Source organism: Homo sapiens, chromosome 18 (assembly GCF_000001405.40).
Source record: "Homo sapiens chromosome 18, GRCh38.p14 Primary Assembly".
Classification (NCBI taxonomy): Eukaryota; Metazoa; Chordata; class Mammalia; order Primates; family Hominidae; genus Homo; species Homo sapiens.
In genome coordinates this window covers 64854888-64877869 of record NC_000018.10, presented here as the reverse complement: position 1 = coordinate 64877869, position 22982 = coordinate 64854888, and the positions used below count along the sequence as shown (strand labels likewise).

General features: G+C 35.0%; 2 long non-coding RNA genes across 4 annotated transcripts in view; one reads left to right on the top strand and one right to left on the bottom strand.

The window, feature by feature from the left end:
- LOC101927404 (uncharacterized) overlaps nucleotides 1-6256 on the top strand; it is a 121424-nt gene extending 115168 nt beyond the window's left edge. Inside the window, exons 4-6 of one of the 3 annotated variants that reach the window (XR_935579.3) lie at nucleotides 2786-2889; nucleotides 3301-3463; nucleotides 5246-6256. This is a non-coding gene — a long non-coding RNA (uncharacterized LOC101927404). The remainder of the gene's footprint in view (nucleotides 1-2785; nucleotides 2890-3300; nucleotides 3464-5245) is intronic. The other 2 variants (XR_935580.2, XR_001753478.1) reach the window with 2 other exon arrangements.
- LOC107985178 (uncharacterized) overlaps nucleotides 1-22982 on the bottom strand; it is a 125185-nt gene that overhangs the window by 73773 nt on the left and 28430 nt on the right. The gene's annotated exons all lie outside the window — the stretch shown is intronic.

Sequence of the window (22982 nt, the reverse complement as noted above, 5' to 3'; positions counted from 1 at the left end):
TGATGGTAGTCTCTTATGATCTTTTGTATTTCTGCGGTATCACAGAAATGTATTACTGTCTCCTCTTTCATGTGTGATTTCATTTGACTCCTCTCTTTTTTTCACAGTGAATTTAGTGGAAGGTTTTTCCATCATTTTTGTCTTTTCAACAAACTAACTAAATTTTATTGAACTTTTCCATCGTCTTTTTAGTCTCTCTTTTATTCATTTCTTTTTTAGTTTTCGTTATTTCTTTGTTTCTGCTAAGTTTGAGAACAAACTCAACTCTTTTTATGTATACTTTGACTCATTAGTTGTTCAGAAGTGTGTTAATTTTCTGCATATCTGTGATTTTTTAACTTTCCCCCATAGTTGATTTCTGATTAATTGTCATTAATGTCAGAAATGATACTTGATATTATTTAAATCTTCCTAAATTAGTTAAGATTGTTTTGTTTTCTAACGTATGATATATCCTGGAGAATATCCTATGTGTGCTTGAGAAGAATATGTATTTTCTGTTATTGTACGGAATATTATGTATATGTGCATTAGGTCCATTTGTTCCATAGTGCTATTCAACTGTGCTGTTTTCTTATTGATTTTCTGTCCAGATAATACTGTTGAAAGTGGGATGGTGATATGATTGGCTGTGTCCCTACCCAAATCTCATCTTGAACTATAGTTCTCATAATTTCCACATGTCGTTGGAGGGACCTGTGGGGGGTAATTGAATCATGGGGGCAGTTACCTCGATACTGTTCTCATGATAGTGAGTGAGTTCTCACAATATCTGATGGTTTTATAAGGGGTTTTCCCCCACTTCACTGGGAACTTCTTCTTGCTGCAACCACGTGAAGAAGGAAGTGCTTGCTTCCTCATCCACCATGATTCTAAGTTTCCTGAGGCCTCTCCAGCCAGTCTGAACTGTGAGTCAATTAAAACTCTTTCCTTTATAAATGACCCAGTCTCGGGTGTCTTTATTAGCAGAATGAGAATGGACTAATACAGAGGATTAAAGTCATTTACTGTTATTTTATTACTATTTATTCCTTCATTTCTGTGAGTATTGGCTTTATATGTCTAGGTGCTCCAATTTGGTGCACCATATGTAATTAAAATTGTTATATCCTCCTGATGTACTGACCACTTTGTCATTATATATAGACCTTCTTTATCTCTTGTGTCAGATTTTGACTAAAAATCTATTTCATGCTGTACAGTTATAGCCACCCCTGCTATCTTCTGGTTATTAATTAGAGGAATATCTTTTTCTATCTTTTCATTTTCAGCCTGTATGTATTCATAAAGTGAAACTGAGTATTTTATAGGCAGAATAATGTTGAATCTTGGTGGTTGTTTTGTTTGTTTTTTCAGCCTGTCTGTGTCTTTTGATTGGAGAATTTAATTCATTTAATTTTAATATAATTATCGATAGATAAGAAGTTACTATTGCTATTTTGTTAATTATTTACTGTTTTGTAGTTTCTGTCTTCCTTTCCTCTTATCTTGCTGTATTATTTTGTTATTTGTTGATTTTGTGTAATGATATGCTTTGATTACTTTCACTTTATCTTTTGTGTATCTACTACAGATATTTTTTTCTTTGTGCTTACCATGAGGTTTACATAAAATATCTTCGTGTTATAATAATTTATTTTAGTGATAGCAACTTAAATTCAATCACATACACATGCTCTGCATTTTACTTGTTCTCTGACATTTTATGCTATTTATGTCACCCTTGACATCTTTTTATATTGTATATCCATTAATAAAGTATCATAGCTATAGTTATTTTAAATATTTGGTCTTTTAACTTTTTTACTATAGTTAAAAGTGATTTATTCTCCACATTACATTATTAAGGCACTATGAATTTGACTATATATTTACCTTTGGCAGTGAGTTTTGTATTTTCATAAGTTTTCATGTTGTTACTTATCAACCTTTTGTTTCAACTTGAAGAACTCCCTTTAGCATTTCTTATAAGACAAATCTAAGCCCTTGTTATTCTGGGAATATCTTTCCTCTCTGTGTCTGAAGGAAAACTTTGCTGGGGTATAGTATCTTTTATTGGCAGTTTTTCTTCTCCCAAAACTTTTTGGTCTGCGAGGTTTCTGTTGAAAAATCCAATGATATTTTTGCAGGCAGAAGGGGTTGCTGGTATGTGACAAGTTGTTTTTCTCTTGCTTTTTTCAAAATTATATCTTTTTTTTTATTTTTGACAATTTGATTTTAATATGTCTTTGGTTAATCTCTTAGGCTGAATTTTGCTTAGGGGCTTTCAAGCTTTAGAAATCTGGAGGTTCATATACTTTCCAATATTTAAGAAGTTTTCAGCCATTATTTCCTTAAATATGCTCCCTTCTGCATTTGCCTTCTGAATCTCTCATAATACATATATTTGTTCACCAAATGATGTCCCAATTATCCCATATGATTTCTTTATACTTTTTATTCTTTTTCCTTTTTGTTCATCTAACTGGCTAATTTCAAATGACACATTATTGAATTCATTGAATATTCTGCATGATTGAGTTTTCTTTTGAAGCTCAGATCAATTTTTCTGTTCAGTCGTTGTATTCTACTTCAGGATTTCTGTTTAAATCTTTTTATGGTTTCTATTATTTATTAAATTACTTATTTTTTACACATTATTTTTCTGATTTTATTTTGTTATGTCTTCTCTTGCAACTCACTGAAGTTCTTTAAAATGATTATTTTGAATTATGTTTTGGACAATTCATAGATTTTCATTTCTTTCAGGCTTAGTTCCTGAAGATTTATTAATTTCCTTTGATAGGAGTTGTGTTTTCCTGATTCTTCATGGTCCATGTAGATGTGTTGATGTCTGTGCAACTGAAGGAACAATCACCTCTTCCAGTATTTATAGACTGCTTTTTGCAGGTAAATACCTTCTTCTCTCCGGTGCCTGGGCTAATGGGATTGCCTCCAGAATTGCAGTAAAGTAGGGCTGGAGTGGGGTCACACAGATGCTGCTGGGTCCATAGTGTGATACAAGGTTGACAGGCCTGCTACCAGGGACTGGGGAGGCTGTGGATCTTGTCTGGTTTCTGGGTGAAAAGGGCTGCCTCCCTGACTTGATCAGTAGGGCTGGCACGGGGAAAAGGGTCCTCATCAGGGCCTGCAGTTGGCTCTGCAAAAGGTGGAACTGTTACCAAAGGTGTGGATGGGTATTTCTCCTACCAGATCCCTGGATTGGCTCCCAATGGGCTACTGGGCAGGTCTTTAAATTGGCAAAACTGGTTCTAGGCCAAGGCTAAAAATGGCTGAACCTAATTTATAGGGTGTTTTCAGGTCTGCAGGCCTGCCTCTGTGAGTACAGATGGGTTTGTCTCCAGTGTGTGGGTACACCTGCCTGTGGACTGAGCTGATCAGGGTTGAAGCTAGGTCACAGAGATGCTTCAGGAGTTGAAGTTGGAACTGCAGTCAGCCAGCCTGTTACCCAAGAGACAAGCAGGTAAGGCTCCTCCAAAGTCCCTTAGTAGACAATGCTGATAGAGGAGCCAGAACAAATGGGGCTGTGGCCAAGCCTAAATAAAGAGAGTGTTATCTCTATGTGTGTAGCTAGAGCCACTGCAACTTGGGTGCAAGCCTGATGTCTCAAAATGGCCCTACTTGATCTTGGACTCCACTGGTGTTTTGCAGTCTCCTTTCTGTATCTCAAAGTCCCCACAAAGGTGTTTCTATCCACTGATGGTTGACAAATTATTGTTGTTATGGGGGGATATGAGTGGAGGTTCTCCTATTCTGCCATCTTACTGATGTCACTCCTGAATGTATTTTTATGATTTTCACTTACACATGGTTTTTTGAAGATGCTTTATAATATTAAAATAATGTGTTCAATTAATGAATAAATGACACTATATAATTCATTGACTATTAGGTCATATATTAGAGAAGATATAGTAAGAAGTTAGTCTTAAAATATGTATTACATTTTCAGAAAAGTATTCCATTTGGGTTCCTAGAGATTCTAGAAAATTCCATAAGTTGTTCTTAATACTTGATGGGAAGGCATCAATTATTAACCTATTGCATTATGTATGAAAGAATATTTATATACAAATTTATTATTATAGAAATCATCTTATTCATCTCATAAATTTCTTGTACATTTTTATCATTTTTTAATTCTTAGGTTTCTAATAAATAGTAAATGTTTTATCTATTGATCGGTTATTATCTATTTATGCTTAAATGTGTGAACTTGAATCTCTTCATATATTTATCCCTGGCTTGATTATTTTTCTAATTATTTTGGTGAATAAACACATTCCTTCAATTTAAAAATTACATGTGTATCGCATTGTGCAATGCCTGAAAATGATCCTGAACACTCACTGTGCATTGACTGAACAATCAGCTTTTTGGAACCAGGGGTGCATCTTTATCTAGATGTTGGAGCTGTACCCAGTCTCAGTTTTCCACATGAATAGGAGGGGACAATATTCCACAGTTGCCAAGATCTCCAAATACTCAGGAGCTGGATTCCTCAGATAATTCCTGTGACTGTGTGGCACCCCGAGTCTTGCCATTACTACTCATTGAATGTCAGCAGTTTCAGGAAGGTACGACATTGAGTGGGGTTGCCCTCTACAATTTAGATAATCCCCATAGCAGCTGTCAGCTGAAGGCTGATACCACTCCCTGCAAATAGGAGAACAACTTCTTCTTTTAAGAATGATCCCCAGAATGGTGCCTCACCCTGACCACCAGAGAATTATAGCTTTATTGTCCCTGGCCACGTAAGATTTCCTATTACCCCAGCAAAACCTATTCTTTCAAAAATTTCATGTGATATTGTGGAATTTATCTAGAATCATGACATATGACTAACATAGAATACTTGACAGCTTGATTAGGTAGTTTTTTCTAAATTGACTGGTCTACTTTTCAAAATAGCTAAATTAGATATGTTATGGTACAAAGTCTGTCCAGAGTTCAAAGGAACCATAGGAACCTGTGATAATTGCCCTTATGTTGACATGGAAAGACTGTAAAAAACCTTCTCTGTAGCATGAAAATTAGCACTTGTAAGCACTAATTGTTTTTCCATGATTATAAAACCTGCAACTAATACACTAAAAATAGCTAGCTTATGCTATGCTACTCATGTAGCAATTATCATGAAAGCATTTCATTACATTCATTCATATTAATGGTGCATTCTTCATTTATAGGTTTGTAAACATTTCAGACTCTATTACCTACTAACATTATTTCATTCTTTTGACAGAATACATTATCTTTTGTTTTATGCTGAAGTAGAGTGCAGCAAGCAAAAAGCAGCAAAAGACACATAATCAAAGTACTTGGAATGCTGACTGTAAAATTATGCTGAGAACTGGCTGCATGATAAGATGCTTTTCCTTCCTCTTTGTTATTTGTATTATTTTGTAAAGATAGGCCAGTGTGAGTATGTCCAAATAAGCTAATAATCTATTTCCCTTAAAATTTCAGCAAATATTCAAGAGAATAAAAATGTAAGTTATTGTCCACACAGCTAATGTTAATTTTTCATTAACATAATTTAAGTCTCGGTGATAGTTTGAAAATGTTCATAATGTTCATTATCTAATAAAATAGATAATTGTGGAATTATCTAACTCGTAGAAGATTAATTGTGGAAGAGTTGTTTGTATATTTGTAACTGTCTCGTTTTTAGTAAAACCAATTTTTTTTTCTGAGTTAAAATATTAAACAATGAAAAAGTAAACTCAATAAATGTAATTCAGTGCCTTGCATAATAGAAAAATGTTAACAAGGTAAAAGCTGTTAAAATTGGGATGGTTTCAAATTTTAATGTGAAAATTTCTGTGATAATTTAATCTGCTAATATAATGTTTAACTCTAGATCTCTTTCTTGTGACATGGCTCGATGCAATTTAGGTTGCTGTCATTAAAATTCTACAAGCACATCATACAGGCCTATCTGCAGTGTACCCATTTCTGCTCTACCTATGTACATACCTAAACCTGAAAACAGGGTTGGAGCTCACTTCTTATGTTCATCTCCTTGCCCTCCCATGCTCATTTGCAGCATAGTCAGATGAAGTATAGTTAACAAACTTATAGCAAAGACAAAGCCTCGGGCTTCAGTTTGAGCTTTGACTTTACCATTCAGTAGCTTTGATACCTGAGCTAAATTGCTGATTTTGTTTAAGTCTTGCTTTCCCTTCGCGTAAGATGAGCTGAAAGTTATTAGCTTCTTCACAATGTTAAGAATTAAAGGGAAAATATAAAAAGTACTTAGTACAATGCCTGGTGCCTACTAAGTGTTCAAATTCATTATCACCATCAAGATTATCCTCCTCTTTCTCCCCCTCTTCCTTATTATCTCATGTTTTAAAGAAGTCTTGGATGGGGAAGAAATAATGAAGGATGTGTGGGAAGTATTATATGATAGTACATCCAGAGAGCTCTGCTTCAGAAATAAACATGTAGATTTTTCTCTTTGTTTTGGCCAAATATGGCTAACACAAATATATTTACAAAAACTAAAAAGCAAAGAAAATTGGTGTAATTTCAGGGAATTTAGTACATGGTAAGAATTATTATGTCTGAAAGACAAAAGAAAAACAATATAACTATATAAATTATAAATTGAAAATTTATATGAAAAGTAGATATACTTTTATAAAATTAATATATATATTTAAATCTGAGAATTTAAATGTTCTCTTTAATTATTAACATCTTTTTTAATTTGTTTGTTTTGTAGACACCATGTCATTAATAAGTAAGAACCTGGGTATTAGACAGAGATTTTAGGGATTTCCATTTTCTCATGTGCTACGGTTTGATAGTAACTGAGCATTACTTTCCCTCTCTGACACCCAAATTCATCATCTATTGTTTTAAACTAACTCACAGAATTATAAAAATAGAATAAGTAATTATTAGGTGTAATTTTTGAAACTTTTGATGCCTAAAATCCACATTCGTTTTCTAGGATTATTGTAAAAACAGTATCACTAATTGGGTAGATTAAAAACAGCAGTAATTTATCCTCTCACAGTATTGGAGGCTGTGACTCTGAAATCAAGGTGTGGGCAGTGCCTGCTCCTTCTGAAGCTCTGGGTAGAATCCTTCCTTGTCTCTTCCTAGCTCATGGTTTTGGCCATCAATCCTTGGTATTCCGTGGTTTGCAGCTGCATCACTACAATCCTTGCCTCTGTCGTCACGTGCTGTCTCTCTGGGGGTCTCCGTCTTCACGTGGTCTTCTTAAACAGACAACAGTCACGCTAGACGAGGACCCACCTCAGTGACCTCACCTTAATTTTATTACATCTGTAGACCCTGTTTCCAAATAGGGTCACACTCACAGGAACCAAAGATGATAATATTTTTTTTTGGAGGGAGGGAGTTCAACCTATAAAAGTCTTGAGCTTGAATATAAACTTAATTCAATATTTCAAGGCTTTGTACTAAAGCCCTGGATTTATACTTAAACTGTTTCTGAGATGACTGACAGCTTTAGTGACAGGGATCTCCAATCTTCTGGAGCAATCTCATGACCAAGGATCTTTAATTTTTGTGTCTTGAATCTTGCAGTTCTACACACATTAGTGTACATGCTTCATCAGAGAAGAATGGGAAAATGAGCAGGAAATCCTGTTTTTGTGATTTCTAGATTCAACCTATGGTTTGATGCAGTAGAAACATATAAGTGGAGATCCTACTCTGAAAATGCCTAAAAAATGCAGGTTTCATCGAACATATTTTCCACTTATGGTGTAGATTTAAAAACCTCCATTTTTGGCAGTCTCTATAATTCTTTATGTTAATACCTCAAGTGAAAATACATTATGGTCTATTAGTCACACAATATTCACCATCAGAGATAATCATGATAGCCATGACTCTGTTTCCTTTTTCTGAATAAGTAACCCCCAAAATGTGACCCATCAAATTTTCAAGTTATGTAACACCTTACAATTCCTATGTCGAGACAATGTTACCCAACAAGAAAATACACCAATATTCAGACTACGTCATATGCAGCACTTAATATCAGGCCAGAGTTAATACGGAATCAGAGCAAAGCTGGAGGCATCACATTATCTGACCTGAAACTATACTTCAAGGCTATAGTAGCCAAAACATCATGGTATTGATACAAAAACGAACACATAGATCAATGGAGCAGAATACAGAAGACAGAAACAAATTCATATATTGAAAGCCAACTGATTTTTGACAAAAGCATCAAAAACATACATTAGAAAATGGAGAGATTCGTCAATAAATTGTGCTGGAAAAACTGGATATAATATACCAAAGAATGAAACTAGACTTCAACCTCTCACCATATACAAAAATCAGATCAAAATAGATTAAAGACTTGGATATATGACCACAAACTATAAAACTGCTAGAGAAAAACCTAGGGTAAATGCCTCAGGACATTGATCTAGGTGAAGTTTTTATGGCTAAAACTTCAAAAGCAGAGACAAAAAGAAATAGAGAAATGGTACTATAGGAAAATAAAATACTTCTGCACAGCAAAATAAATTATTAATAGAATAAAGACATGACCTGTAGAATGGGACAGAATAGTTGCAAAATATTCAATTGACAAGGGACAAATATCCAGAATATGCAAAGAACTCAATCAACTCAACAAAAACAGAAGGAAAAAAAACACTGAGAAATGGGCAAAGAATTTTAATAGACATTTCTCAAAAGAAGATATCCAAATGGCCAACAGGTATGTGAACAAATCTTCAATGCCAAGAATCATCAGGGAAATGGAAGTTAAAACTACAATGAGATTGCATCTCATCTCAGATAGAATGGCCAATTATTCAAAGACAAAAAGTATCAAATGCTGGTGAGGATGTGGAGAAAAGAGAACTCTCATATACAGCTGGTGGGAATGTAAATTAGTACACCCGTTATGAAAAAGAATATGAGGGTTTCTTAAATAACTAAAAATAAAACTACCATATGATCCAGCTATTCTGCCACTTGGTATCCGAAAGAAAGGAAATCAGTTTATAACCAGGAAAAACTGCATCTCTGTGTTTATTGTAGCACTATTCACAGTAGCCAAGACATGGAATCCATCTAAATGCCCACTAACAGATGAGTGGATAAGGAAAATGTGATACATGCCTATCTCTAATGTTGTCATTGTACATACACATATATACAATAGGATATTAATCAGTCATAAAAATAGAATAAAATCATATCACTTTCAACAGCATGGATGGAACTGGAGATCATTGTTTTAAGTGAAATAAGCCAAGCACAGAAAGACAAATATTTCTTGCTCTCACTCATAGGCGGGAGCTAAAAAGGGTTGACCTCATGGAAGTAGAGGGTGGAATGATGGTTACTTGAGTCCGGCAAGGGTGACCAGCATTAATTAATAATACGTGAGCCTGGTAAGGGTGGGCGGTAAAGAGAGATTGGTTAATGGATACAAACATACAGTTAGAAGAAATAAGCTCTAGGATTTAATAGCACAGTAAGGTAACTATCGTTAACAATAATTTACTGTATATTTCAAAGTAGCTAAAAGAGAAGATATGAAGTGCTCCTAACATAAAGAAATCATAAATGCTCAAGGTAATGAATATCCCAATTACCCTGATTTGATCATCACACATTTTATGCATGTATAAAAACATCACACATTCCTCATAAGTATGTACAATTATTATTCAACTTTTTAAAATATCGATTTAATTGTTAATCATTTCAGAGGCTACTGAAGCCAAAATACAAAATGCCAAATATATTAATTAAAATCACTCTATTGGACACACTCTTTTTCCCCCTGCTAACTCCCTTAAAGAATCTATTTCTGTTCTCATCCTTGAAGGTCCTGTTGTTATATGAATCCCTTCCTTCTTTCACACGTAACTGGTCAAAAGTAGACAACTGAACTAAAGTAAATTCATTAATTTCTTAGAAGTTAAGATTTTTTTCTTAAACATACGAGCTAAGAAAAACTAGTTACATTTGTAGTTGAATTTCATTATTTGATATTGTAGACAAGATCTCTGCACCACTCTCTGTTGATAAGAAATCAACATATATGTACCAACAACATATGATAAAAACCTATTTAGATAAGGTTTTTTGTTCGTTTTTTTTTTTTTTTTTTTAATGACTGAATCTCACTCCATTGCCCAAGCTGGAGTGCAGTGACGCGATCTTGGCTCACTGCAAGCTCCGCCTCCTGGGTTCGCACAATTCTCCTCCCTCAGCCTCCCAAGTAGCTGGGACTACAGGCACCCGCCACCATGCCCGGCTAATTTTTTGTATTTTTAGTAGAGATGGGGTTTCACCATGCGCAGTGGCTCACGCCTATAATCCCAGAACTTTGGGAAGCCGAGGCGGGCGAATCATGAGGTCAGGAGATCGAGACCATCCTGGATACAGTTGTTTTATTACTATGTCTATATCTACAGAATGGTACGCTTAAAGAAGACATAATTACTTCAGTACAAATTTTGTAGTCTGTTTTGACATTTGGATCAGAAGATTGAGGCTCATGGACTACACATTTGTAAGTGTGTGATGTTTATCAGTTGCATAACCAAACTCAAATATTGCTGATCAATATGCATGTGGCAACCCAGAGCATGGTCTCTAGAAAGGTGTGCTCTGCTACCTGACTTCAAACTATACTACAAGGCTACAGTAACCAAAACAGTATGGTACTGGTACCAAAACAGAGATATAGACCAATGGAACAGAACAGAGCCCTCAGAAATAATGCTGCATATCTACAACCATCTGATCTTTGACAAACCTGACAAAAACCAGAAATGGGGAAAGGATTCCCTATTTAATAAATGGTTCTGGGAAAACTGGTTAGCCATATGCAGAAAGCTGAAACTGGATCCCTTCCTTACACCTTATACAAAAATTAATTCAAGATGGATTCAAGACTTAAATGTTAGACCTAAAACCATAAAAACCCTAGAAGAAAACCTAGGCAATACCATTCAGGACATAGGCATGGGCAAGGACTTCATGTCTAAAACACCAAAAGCAATGGCAACAAAAGCCAAAATTGACAAATGGGATCTAATTAAACTAAAGAGCTTCTGCACAGCAAAAGAAACTACCATCAGAGTGAACAGGCAACCTACAGAATGGGAGAAAATTTTTGCAGTTTACTCATCTGACAAAGGGCTAATATCCAGAATCTACAAAGAACTCAAACAAATTTACAAGAAAAAAACATCCCCATGAAAAAGTGGGTGAAGGATATGAACAGACACTTCTCAAAAGAAGACATTTATGCAGCCAAAAGACACATGAAAAAATGCTCATCATCACTGGCCATCAGAGAAATGCAAATCAAAACCACAATGAGATACCATCTCACACCAGTTAGAATGGCGATCATTAAAAAGTCAGGAAACAACAGGTGCTGGAGAGGATATGGAGAAATAGGAACACTTTTAAACTGTTGGTGGGACTGTAAACTAGTTCAATCATTGTGGAAGTCAGTGTGGCTATTCCTCAGGGATCTAAAACTAGAAATACCATTTGACCCAGCCATCCCATTACTGGGTATACACCCAAAGGATTATAAATCATGCTGCTATAAAGACACATGCACACATATGTTTATTATGGCACTATTCACAATAGCAAAGACTTGGAACCAACCCAAATGTCCAACAATGATAGACTGGATTAAGAAAATGTGGCACATATACACCATGGAATACTATACAGCCATAAAAAAGGATGAGTTCATATCCTTTGTAGGGACATGGATGAAGCTGGAAACCATCATTCTCAGCAAACTATTGCAAGGACAAAAACCAAACACCACATGTTCTCACTCATAGGTGGGAATTGAACAATGAGAACACATGGACACAGGAAGGGGAACATCACACACCGGGGCCTGCTGTGGGGTGGAGGGAGGGGGGAGGGATAGCATTAGGAGATACACCTAAAGTTAAATGACGAGTTACTGGGTGCAGCACACCAACATGGCACATGTATACATATGTAACTAACCTGCACGTTGTGCACATGTACCCTAAAACTTAAAGTATAATAAAAAAAGAAGGAAAGAAAGGTGTGCTCAAAGGTCCTGTAAATATGGTTAATAAATGGGGTCGTCACATTTCAACAGTGCTAAAGACAGTGTTTCCAATGTCATCATCACGAAAAGGTAAACATTTGAGGTGATGGATATGTTAACTATCTTGATTTAATCATTCCACATTGTATAAAAAATTAAAACACCATTTTGTACCCAATAAATATACAGAGCAATAATTCGTCAATTACAATAAAAATTTTAAAAGGTCTTGTGCTTTGACCAACTTCTATAAAATGTTATTTACAACTTGAATAAAAAGACAAGAATTGCCGGACACAGTGGTTCACGCCTATAATCCCAGCACTTTGTGGGGGCTGAGACGGGCGGATCATTTGAGGTCAGAAGTTTGAGACCAGCCTGACCAACATGATGAAACTCCGTCTCTACTAAGAATACAAAATAATTAGCCAGGCGCGGTGGTGCATGCCTGTAGTCCCAGCTGCTCAGGAGGCTGAGGCAGGAGAATCACTTGAACCTGGGAAGTGGAGGTTGCAGTGAGCAGAGATCACACCACTGCACTCCAGCCTGGGTGACAAGAGCGAGACTCCATCTCAAACCAACAACAACAAAAAAGAATCACATTTCAAACCATAGAAAAGAATAAAAACAAGAAGAAATAATAACATACAAGATGTAAGACTCAAAATAAAAAAATGTTGGCAAGACTGTAACTTTTTTGAATACGCTCCAAATAAAATATTCTACTCAACCATGGCAGAAAAATTTCAAAGATTCTAAAAATTTAACACCTGTTATGGGATATGAGATTTTCAATTAATGTAAAAATCTTCAAAAGTTGTAGCTACTGTAAGACCAATATTAATTACTATTGCATAATACATTCACTTGGCATTATATTTTGAGAGGCATATTTCACAAAATATGTACTGCGTAATACTAAGTCTGCTTATGTTGACACTCTGAAAGGAGTGACATGCTATGCTACATTTCTCAAGCATAACCAAAATAAATTCTTTTCTATAAAGTTTCATTTTTGAAGTGTTTCAATGACTACACAAAAAATACCAAACTACAGTGTTCACAGGATGGTTTACAGAATAGAAAACAATTAAGAAACTATGTCTCATTAGGTAAAAATAACATACCTGGTTAGTTGACTCAATAATTCAAAGGATTATAGATTTATTCTTTCAAAAAATGTTCTTGTGTATATTTAAAATATACAACATGATGTTATGGGATAAATATAAATAGTAAAACGGTTACCATAGTGATGCAAATAAACACATCCATCATCTCACATAGTTATCCTTTGTGTATGTGTCAATAACAACTACATTTATTCATTTAGCAAAAATCCGAAACAGTATAATTTTATTAACTACAGTCTTCATGTTGTACGTTCGATACATAAACTTGTTCATTTTACACATCTACTACGTTGTATTATGTGACCCACATCTCCCCATTTGCATCCTTCTGATCACCACTCTTTTATTCGCTGTCTGTATATTTGATTCTCTTAGATGCATACGTAAGATCCTGTAATTTTTTTTCTCAGTCTTATTTCATTTAGCATCATGTCTTCCAGGTTCATCCATTTTGTAAGAAATGGCAGGATTTCCTGATTTCACTTACTTTTGGTATACACTCAAAAGAGAGATGCTGGGTCACATAATATTTCTAGTTTTAATTTCTTTTGGAACCTCCATACTGCCTTTCACAATAGTTGCCTCAATCTACATTTCTGCCAACAGCATACAAGAGTTCCCTTTTCTCCATACCCTCAGCAATATTTGTTATATCTTAACTTTTGATAATAGCCATCCTAATGGGTGTGAATTTATATCATTATAGTGGTTTGGTTTGCATTTCCCTGGTGACTAATGAGGTTGGAGCAGCCTTTTTTATACCCACTGGTCAATTTTATCTCTTCTTTGGAGAAACATCTGTTCAGGTCCTTTGCCCATTTATTATTCAGGTTATTTGGCTTTTTACTAGGGACTTGTAGGAGTTCCTTGTGAATCTTGGATATTAACCCTATTAACGCTTTATCAGGTAGATGGCTTGCAAACATTTTTTTCCAATACATGGGTAGCCATTTTATCTTATTGATTGTTCCCTTTGCTGTGCAGAAGCTCTTTACCTTGATTCAATACCATTTACTTATTTTTGGTTTTGTAGCCTGCGATTTTGGTATGATATCCAAAAAGTTATTTCCAAGGCAAATGTCAAAGAATTTTTTTTTCCTACATTATCTTCTAGGAGTTCTGTGGTTTCAGGTTCTAAAATTCATATGGAACCACAAAAGGCCCTGAATAACCAACGAAATTCTGAGAAAGAAAAACAAAGTTGGAGGCATCACACTTCCTGATTTGAAATTATACTACAAAGCTATAGTAATAAAAACACTGTGGTGCAATCAGTCAGAGGTTATTTGGTGCTCCACCTAACAACCTAACACAGAAAATGTGTCCTTATTTCCATCTGGATAACAAATAGCAGGAGATACACTGCAAAATTCCATTTGTAAAATTTACCAATGGAACATGTTAGGATAATCAGTTTTCTAATCCTTGTACTCCAACCAAAGTGTCCTGTACCAGCTTACTTAGGAAATACATTAGAGAAAGGGGAATCCTCAGATATTTAAAGCAGGGTTCAATAAACTTTTTCTTAAAGGGTCAAATGGTAAATATTTTGATTTTGCTGGCCAAGAAGCAAAATTACGAATATTATGTAGTTATTTTTTCTAATAATTTGAAATATTCCCATATGAAAATGGGGAAAAAAATCCTCATGTTATGGGTCATAAAAGACAGGGGGCTGGCTAAATTTGCTCGAAGAGCTATAGTTTGCCAATCTCATTTAGAGGACAAATATTGTTGACAGAGGTTTACTTTTCATACCAGCACCACATTTCAAGAGTTCAAAGAGTGTTTGATGCACCAGCATGGACTTCCATACTATATTGCCTTAGACCAAGACTCCTGATTTACATAAAAAAGTGTGATAATGGGATGCTTTGTGGAATAATGTTCTCATCACATACCATACCACCAATGAGCTGTTGACTTCATAAGTAGATGGTAAAGTCATTTGAACATGAAATAGAAGTCCTGTCTTAAAGGTTATACCCTATTTGGTTGGGGCATCCAATGTTCCTAACTTTGTAAACTATTATTTTATTTCAAATGAAACTCTCCACCAAACAGACTATTGTCTTGTTCTGGTGCTTCCAGAAAGCACATTCATTAAGGGAACCATGCCTGTCATTATCATGACCCCTCAGAAGAAGCTCAGAGGATACGTTTTGCAGCCCTTGCTCCTTTTCTGTTAAAGGGAAAGAGAATTTAACCATAATCTTTTTAACAAAATCCTGCTGAGAATCATGGGCATAAAAAAAGCTTGCTGCTCTAGTTATCTGAAAGTTAGTTTTAAAACACACTTAAGACTATGAATTGTCACCGTCAATGATGGGAATATCTTCCTGCACCTTTATTCCCTAAAAAAATATTTTTAGTTTCGTGTATTAGTGCTTAAAATTCAATCAGAAGATAACAAGAATGAAGATCTTAATGATAAAATCAGAGAATGTAGCCAAGTGTCTGGCACTGTTTGGAAGGCGAGCTCATTACCCTGAGGAATATCACAATGCATTCATTCAAAAATCTTCCTGACAATCTACTGACAAAATTGTACACAGGTATGTACACAGGCCCTGCTATATTTGGATTCTTGTGTGGCTCATGTGAAGCCACATGGAAGTCTATTAGCCACTACAGTTGCCAGTCATCACTCTTAGTAATATCTTTCCCTCTCAGATCAATTAGAGAAGTCAGCTGTCCAGTCTCCCAGTTCTTCCCTCTCTAACAAGTTTTGAGTTCTAAGTACTCCACAGTAGCAAAAAAACAAACAAACATAAAACAAAAACTTTTTATTAAAAATTAGTGTATTGTTTTCATTACTACCTACACACTTTTTCTGATAGTAGTGAGACTATTTTCTAATTGCTGATGGTTTTAACACAAATTCTGATTGGAAACTTCATTATCCACCTAGCAAAAAAGAAATAAGAAATCAGCTCAAGAAGGAAAGTATGTGATTTGTATTTTTTTAATTAATTTCACAAACCTGAACCTAATGAAATTTTTAAATTTTTTTCTTTGAAAATGAAGGAGTCATTATTTGTATCCAACTGAATTATAAGTTATTAGCTGCCGTCTTTCATAAATAGTTTGGCTTGTGGTCTAATTTATCTCAAATAGTGTTTTAGTTACCTTAATAGATGAATGCATTAATTTTAATTGGATAATGACTAAATTAGATAGGTAATGGCCTACAAATTTTTTTATTTACTTGTTGGAAAAATGCTCAAAAGTGATGCTAAACATAACAGAAAAACAACCTAGTTTATTTAAAATATATAAGCTCACATGATCTCATGCATTTTACTTAAGATGTCAAAATTTAAATGACAAAAAGATCACAGTTATCTAAAATAATATTTATGGAAAACTGAAAGGGAGAAAAGTTGTATTAGAAATTACGTACTGCTTTAGGAATAATGAGTGTTTACAAGTTCAGACTCTGGACCCACTTGGGCCTACGTTTGATTCTTGGCTCTGTCCTCTGCTAACTGTGAGACAGTCTGAGAGGCAAGGAACCTTTTCATGCTTTATATCTTCATTTATAAAGTGGAAACTGAATTGTACAAATATCTTGAGATTTTTGCAAGCACGGTCTAAGACTATGTAGATACAAAGCTTAGCAATTTCCTGATAGAAAGGAAGGTTTATTAAAAGCTAGCTGTTATAATTATTACTATCACTATTGTTATCTTTGAGTTTCAAAGTTTCAGCCCAATAAATGAAAGAAGCATGAATATTAGTCTTAGAGTCTCTCTCTTTTTTTTTTTTTTGTTAAACCATATACTACTGGAAATTATTTTTGTGTCTGGTTTATTAATGCTAGTAGAGTACTTAAAATTGTCATAATTCTTAGGTAAGAAAGGACTGAGTCACTAAGACACTAGAAGTTTTATACTATCTTTCTCAAAAGTGCTTTTGGGGATATATTATATTGACATTTGGGCTGCAATTCTCTGGCCTTCTTAAGAACTAGAAAAAAAGAGAAATGGAACAATAGTGAGCATTATTATTTAATTTTAAATCCAGGAAGATTCATATATATTTCTAATGTATTTTTATATACTTAATAATTAAAGTGAGCTGTGAATTTATGAAGGAACTAAACCTATGTTCTAAAGATTCTCCCACATTATTCAATCAGAGCTTGACTCAAATTAGTAATTAATGAAGAACAAGATTTTTTTAAAAAAGTATAAAATAATGTTCACAATGTAATCTAGTGATGTCAAATTTGAAATGTATTTTATATCTTTCTTTGTGTTCATATTTTTATATTAATTTTAAATGATGCTAAATACAGCTAGACATTTCTATATTTTTTCCATTCCACAAGCCTTAAAAAATAAATTGCTTACCAGTTTCACATATCTACAAAACTATTGATACAGAATACTCACATATCACAATTTTTTTAAATTAACCATTTTGCCCCCATTCTCCCTATTAGAAGAAAGTCTATTATGTAACATTGAAGGAGCCTCCAATTTTTTCATGAATTTCAAGGGTTTTGTTAATTCTAAAGATAATGGATTCAAAATGCTAGGCAAAAGCAAATTATAGAATCTAGTGGAGATTACTGTATTAGTCTGTAATACTAATTACTAATACAAACATTTTGTAAGGGTTTCCCCTTATAAAACCATCAGATCTTGTGAGACTTATTCATCACCACGAGAACAGTATGGGGAAAACTCCCTCCGTGATTAAATTATCTCCCACTGGGTCCCCCCAACAACACATGGGAATTATGGGAGCTACAATTCAGAATGAGATTTGGGTGAGGACACAGCCAAGCCATATCAATTATTAATGCTAGTGGAGTACTTAACAATCTAGCTAGTGGAGTACTTACTATTAATGTTAGTGGAGTACTTACAGTTACCTTTGTTTTCCTACAGAACACAGCTGCACCAAGGAAGACTGGTATGGCAAGGAGCAATAACCACTTTCTTACTCCATGTTAATGCTCTTGTCAACAGGACTCTGGCCAGTTGCCTGTGGTTCTCAAGACCATGTTTTTCAAACTTACCTTAGTCAGGTGGCAGCGGCCAGGGTAAATTCTATCACACGTGTTATCATGACTGTGTGATTCTCCCATGCAGGCACACACACCAGACTTGAGTCACAAGCCCAGCCTACCATGTTCTGCAACACACTTTTATTTCTGAGCAATTCTTTCCTTATGATCGCCTTAGGGTTGCCCCAAACTCACACAGCAGGTCACCACAAACCATTGGATTTTCATAGCTTGACTTACAAAAGTCCCTGGGGATACTTATGTAAATTAATCCAGCTTTCTCCTGTGACTAGCTTTGCATAAAGACATTAGAAAAGATGCATGGATTTTTCACTTCAATTTAGTCCTCTAAAGAACTTAGAAAGCATTGCTCCCATTCACACAACAGGAAAAGTCAAGTAAACTGAAAATCAATGGCCTTACTTGGAAACATCAGAGAACCGAAATCACTACTGTAAACGTGGAGAGACAAGCAAATCCAGCGAGCCAACATGAAGACCTATTTGCTTGGGAAATTGCCACTGGAGCCATAAACTAGTAGGATCATTTAAATGGTATTTTTTATAAATTACTAGAGGTCAAGTGAGGACTAGTTTAGGACTGAGAAAAACCCATGACTCCACACTCAAAGGACCCCACAATTTTGTGCACATTATCGCCTGTAGCCAGAACAAGTTTTCGCAAAAAAGAGCCAAGAAAGATCCAGTTCCACTAATGGCTCGGGGAGGGGTAGGGAGAGAGAAATTAAGACGAAATAAGCCCATAGAATTCTCCACGATGACGACCTGTTCTTCAGGGGGTTAAAGACTATGCTGGAACTTCATCCTGCCCAAAGGTTGGACATTCATCTCACTCTAGCCCCCTCTACCTTTCTGTATTAATAAGGATTAACAAAAACAAAACAAAATTGTGCTAATGGAGAAACATTCGTGAAACTGGTGAAGGAAATAGCTCAGGAACACACACCCACTGAAAGTCTATTTAAACATAAGTTTATAGAATGCTTCTCTTCCCCAACACCTTGCCACTGTACCAACAGGCCCCAGTATAACAACACTGGATTATATCTGAAACACCTGCATGATGCAGATCTATCTGAGAAATACTCAGACAAGCCTAAAGCCAAGAGAGGAAAGAGAGAGAGAGAGAGGAAAGAGAGAGAGAGAGGAGAGAGAGAGAGAGAGAGAGAACTCAAGGAATTTGAAGACTCTATCACCTACACGACAGAAAATATTTTTGAACCAATTAAAATAAAAATAAAACAAAAATTTGTGAGGAGGAGCAGAATCAGAATTATTGGAAAATTTATAGCAATAAGTGCAAAAATTAGAAAAAAATATTCCAAAATCCATAATCTAAGATTCCACAATAACAAACTAAAGGAGAACAACATAAACCTAAAATGACCAAGAGAAAGGAATAATAATAATAAAATTAATACAGTTAAAAACAACAAAATCAATAGAGAAAATGAATGCGAATGAAAGTGAATTCTGGTCCTTCGGAAAAAAATTAATACAATTGATAAAAGTTTAGCATGGCTAACAATGAAAATCAAAGAGATAAGGCATAAATTGCCAATATCAGAAATGAGAGAGATGACATTGCAACTGATGTCATGGTCATTAGAAAAGTGATAGACTAAGAACATCTCTATGCCCACAGACTTATTAATTTACATGAAATGGAGAAAATCCTTGAAAAACACAAACTACTAAAACTTACACAAGGAGAATTAGAAAACGTAAATATATCTATATCTATTAGAGATATTGGATCAATAAAAATCTTTGAAAAGAACACACTAGGCCTAGTTGGTTTCACTTATTAATTATCAAATAATTGAGGAAAGCAAATCCAATCTCCAAAACATCTTCCAGAAAACAGAAGTACTCCCATTAGAGGGAGTACTTCCTTGCTCATTCTGTAAGCCAGCTGTACACTAACACCAACAAGAGGCAAATACATGATAAGAAAAGAAAACCGAAAACTACTATCCCTCAAGAATGCAGATGCAAAATCCTCAGCAAAATATAAGTGAATTGAATCCAACAATGTATAAAAATAATTATTTACCATGATCAAGTGAAATTTCTGTCAAATTTGCAAGGTTGGCTTAACATTCAAAAATCAATTACTGCAATCCAACATATCAAAAAACAGAAACTCATATGATTGTATAAATTGATGAAGAAAAAGCTTTTGACAAAATCCAAGTTATTCATGACACAATCTGTCAGCAAACTAGGAGTGGAGGAGAACTTGCTCATCCCGATAAAGGACATCTACAGAAAGCTACAACTAAAATCAACTTAGTGATGAAAAACTGAATGCTCAGATTGAGAATAAGACAAGGATACCTTTTTCTCATCACTTCAATTCAACAGCATACTGGAAGTCCTAGCTAGTTCAATTAGACAAGAAAGAGAACGCCAGGCCTGGTGGCTCACACCTGTAATCCCAGCACTTTGGGAGGCCGAGTCGGTTGGATCACGAGGTCAGAAGTTCCAGATCAGCCTGGCCAACATAATGAAACCCCGTCTATACTAAAAATACAAAAATTAGCCAGACATGGTGGCTCGTGCCTGTAGTCCCAGCTACTCAGGAGGCTGAGGCAGGAGAATCACTTGAACCTGGGAGGCAGAGGTTGCAGTGAGCTGAGATCATTCCACTGCACTCCAGCCTGAGCAACAGAGCAAGACTCAGTCTCAAAAAAAAAAAAAAAAAAAAAAAAAAAAGAGAGAGAGAGAGAGAAATAACAAGTATACAGATTTAAAATGAAATAAATAAAACTGTCATTTGTACGTGGCATGATTTTATATGTAGGAAATCCCAAAGAATTTACCAAGAAACTTCTGGATCTTATAAGTGAATTTAGCAAAGCTACAGGATAAAAACTTAACAATAAAAAATCAATTGTTTTCCTATAAGAAAAGTTGCAATTTGAAATTTGAAGAAAGGAATACCATTTCAAATGAACTCCAAAAATTTAATCCTTATATATAAATCCAAGAAAAGATGTTGGGGATCTATTTGAGGAAAACCACATAACTCAAAGAAATCATGACATCACCTCCTGCAACCTCTGCGTATATACCTGGCTGGTGTCCACCGCACTTTGGGACTTTCTATTTCGGCATTGGAGCTACTCCTTTCTCTGTCACTGTACAAGGGAGCCTCTTCCTTCTGCCTTCTCTTTTCTTTCTTGCCTATTAAACTCTCTGCTCCTTAAAACCAAAAAAAAAAAAAAAAACCTAACTAAATGGAAAGATGCTTATCTTCTTCATGTATTGTTGGTCTCAATATTTTTAATACATTAATTTTTCTCAACTACATCAATAGATTTAATGTATTCTCAACCAAAATTCCAGGAATCATTTTTTGTAGATATTAATAATATGATTTAAATTTTATATGGACAGGCAAAACAATACCAATGTCTAGCCAACTTCAAGACTTACCATATTCAAGGCAGGCCAGGAGCAGTGGCCCATGCCTGTAATCCCAATATTTTGGGAGGCTGAGGTGGACGGATCACTTGAGGCCAGGAGTTCGAGACTAGCCTGGCCAACATGGCAAAACCCCATCTGGACTAAAAATACAAAAATTAGCCAGGTTTGCTGGTGCACACCACTGGTCCCAGCTACTCAGGAGGTCTGAGGCACCAGAATGGCTTGAACCCAGGAGTCGGAGTTTGCAGTGAGACAAGATCATGCCACTGCACTCAAGCCTGGGTGACAGAGTGAAACTCTGTCTCAAAAAATAAAAAAAAAAAATTAAAGACATTGTGGTATTGGCAAAATAATTAATCAATGAAATAGAGTAGCACTCAGAAATAGACCCACACAAACATAAACAATTACAACTTTTTTCAAAAATCAAAGGCAGTTCAATGTATAAAGGATATTCTTTTAAATGAATGCAACCAGATCAATTTGATGACCATAAGCAGAAAAAAATGAACCTAGACACAGCTCTTACCTTCCACAAAAAGTTGCTGAAAATGGATTGTAGACCTAAGTTTAAGTGCAAAACTCTAAAATTTTCTGTAAGATAACATACAAGAAAATCCAGTTGACCTTGGGTTTAGTGATGAGTTTTTAGAATTAATACCAAATAAAACAAACTATGAAAAAATTAATAATTAATACATTATTAAAAGTAAAAATTCCCCTTCTATAAAGACACTGTTAAGAGAATTAGAAGACAGATGGTAGACCAGGAGAACATGTTTGCAAAACACCATCTACTAAAAGACTTCTATTCAAAATACACAAAAGATACTTTAACTAACAATAAGAAAACAAACAACCAAATTAAAAAGTGGACAAAAGACCTAAACAGATAGTACATCAAAAATATATGTATTCAGATAGAAAATTAGCATGGGAAAATGTGTGCACTGATTTTCATTAGGTAATTGCAAATTAAAACAATGAAATATTACTTCATAGGTAAAAGCTAAAAAAAAATGACAATGCAATTTAGAAGGTTTCCAGGTCCCAGAAAATAATGTAGACATTGACAAAAGAATCTAACAGTATTAAAAATAGAATCATATGCTGCATAATATGGTTTGGCTGTGTTCCCACATAAATCTCATCTTGAATTGTAGCTCCCATAATTCCCACATGTCATGTGAGGGATCCAGAAGGAGGTAACTGAATCATGGGGGTGGATCTTTTCCATGCTGTTCTCATGATAGCAAATAAGTTTCATGAGATCTGATTGTTTTATAAAGGGGAGTTCCCCTGCACAT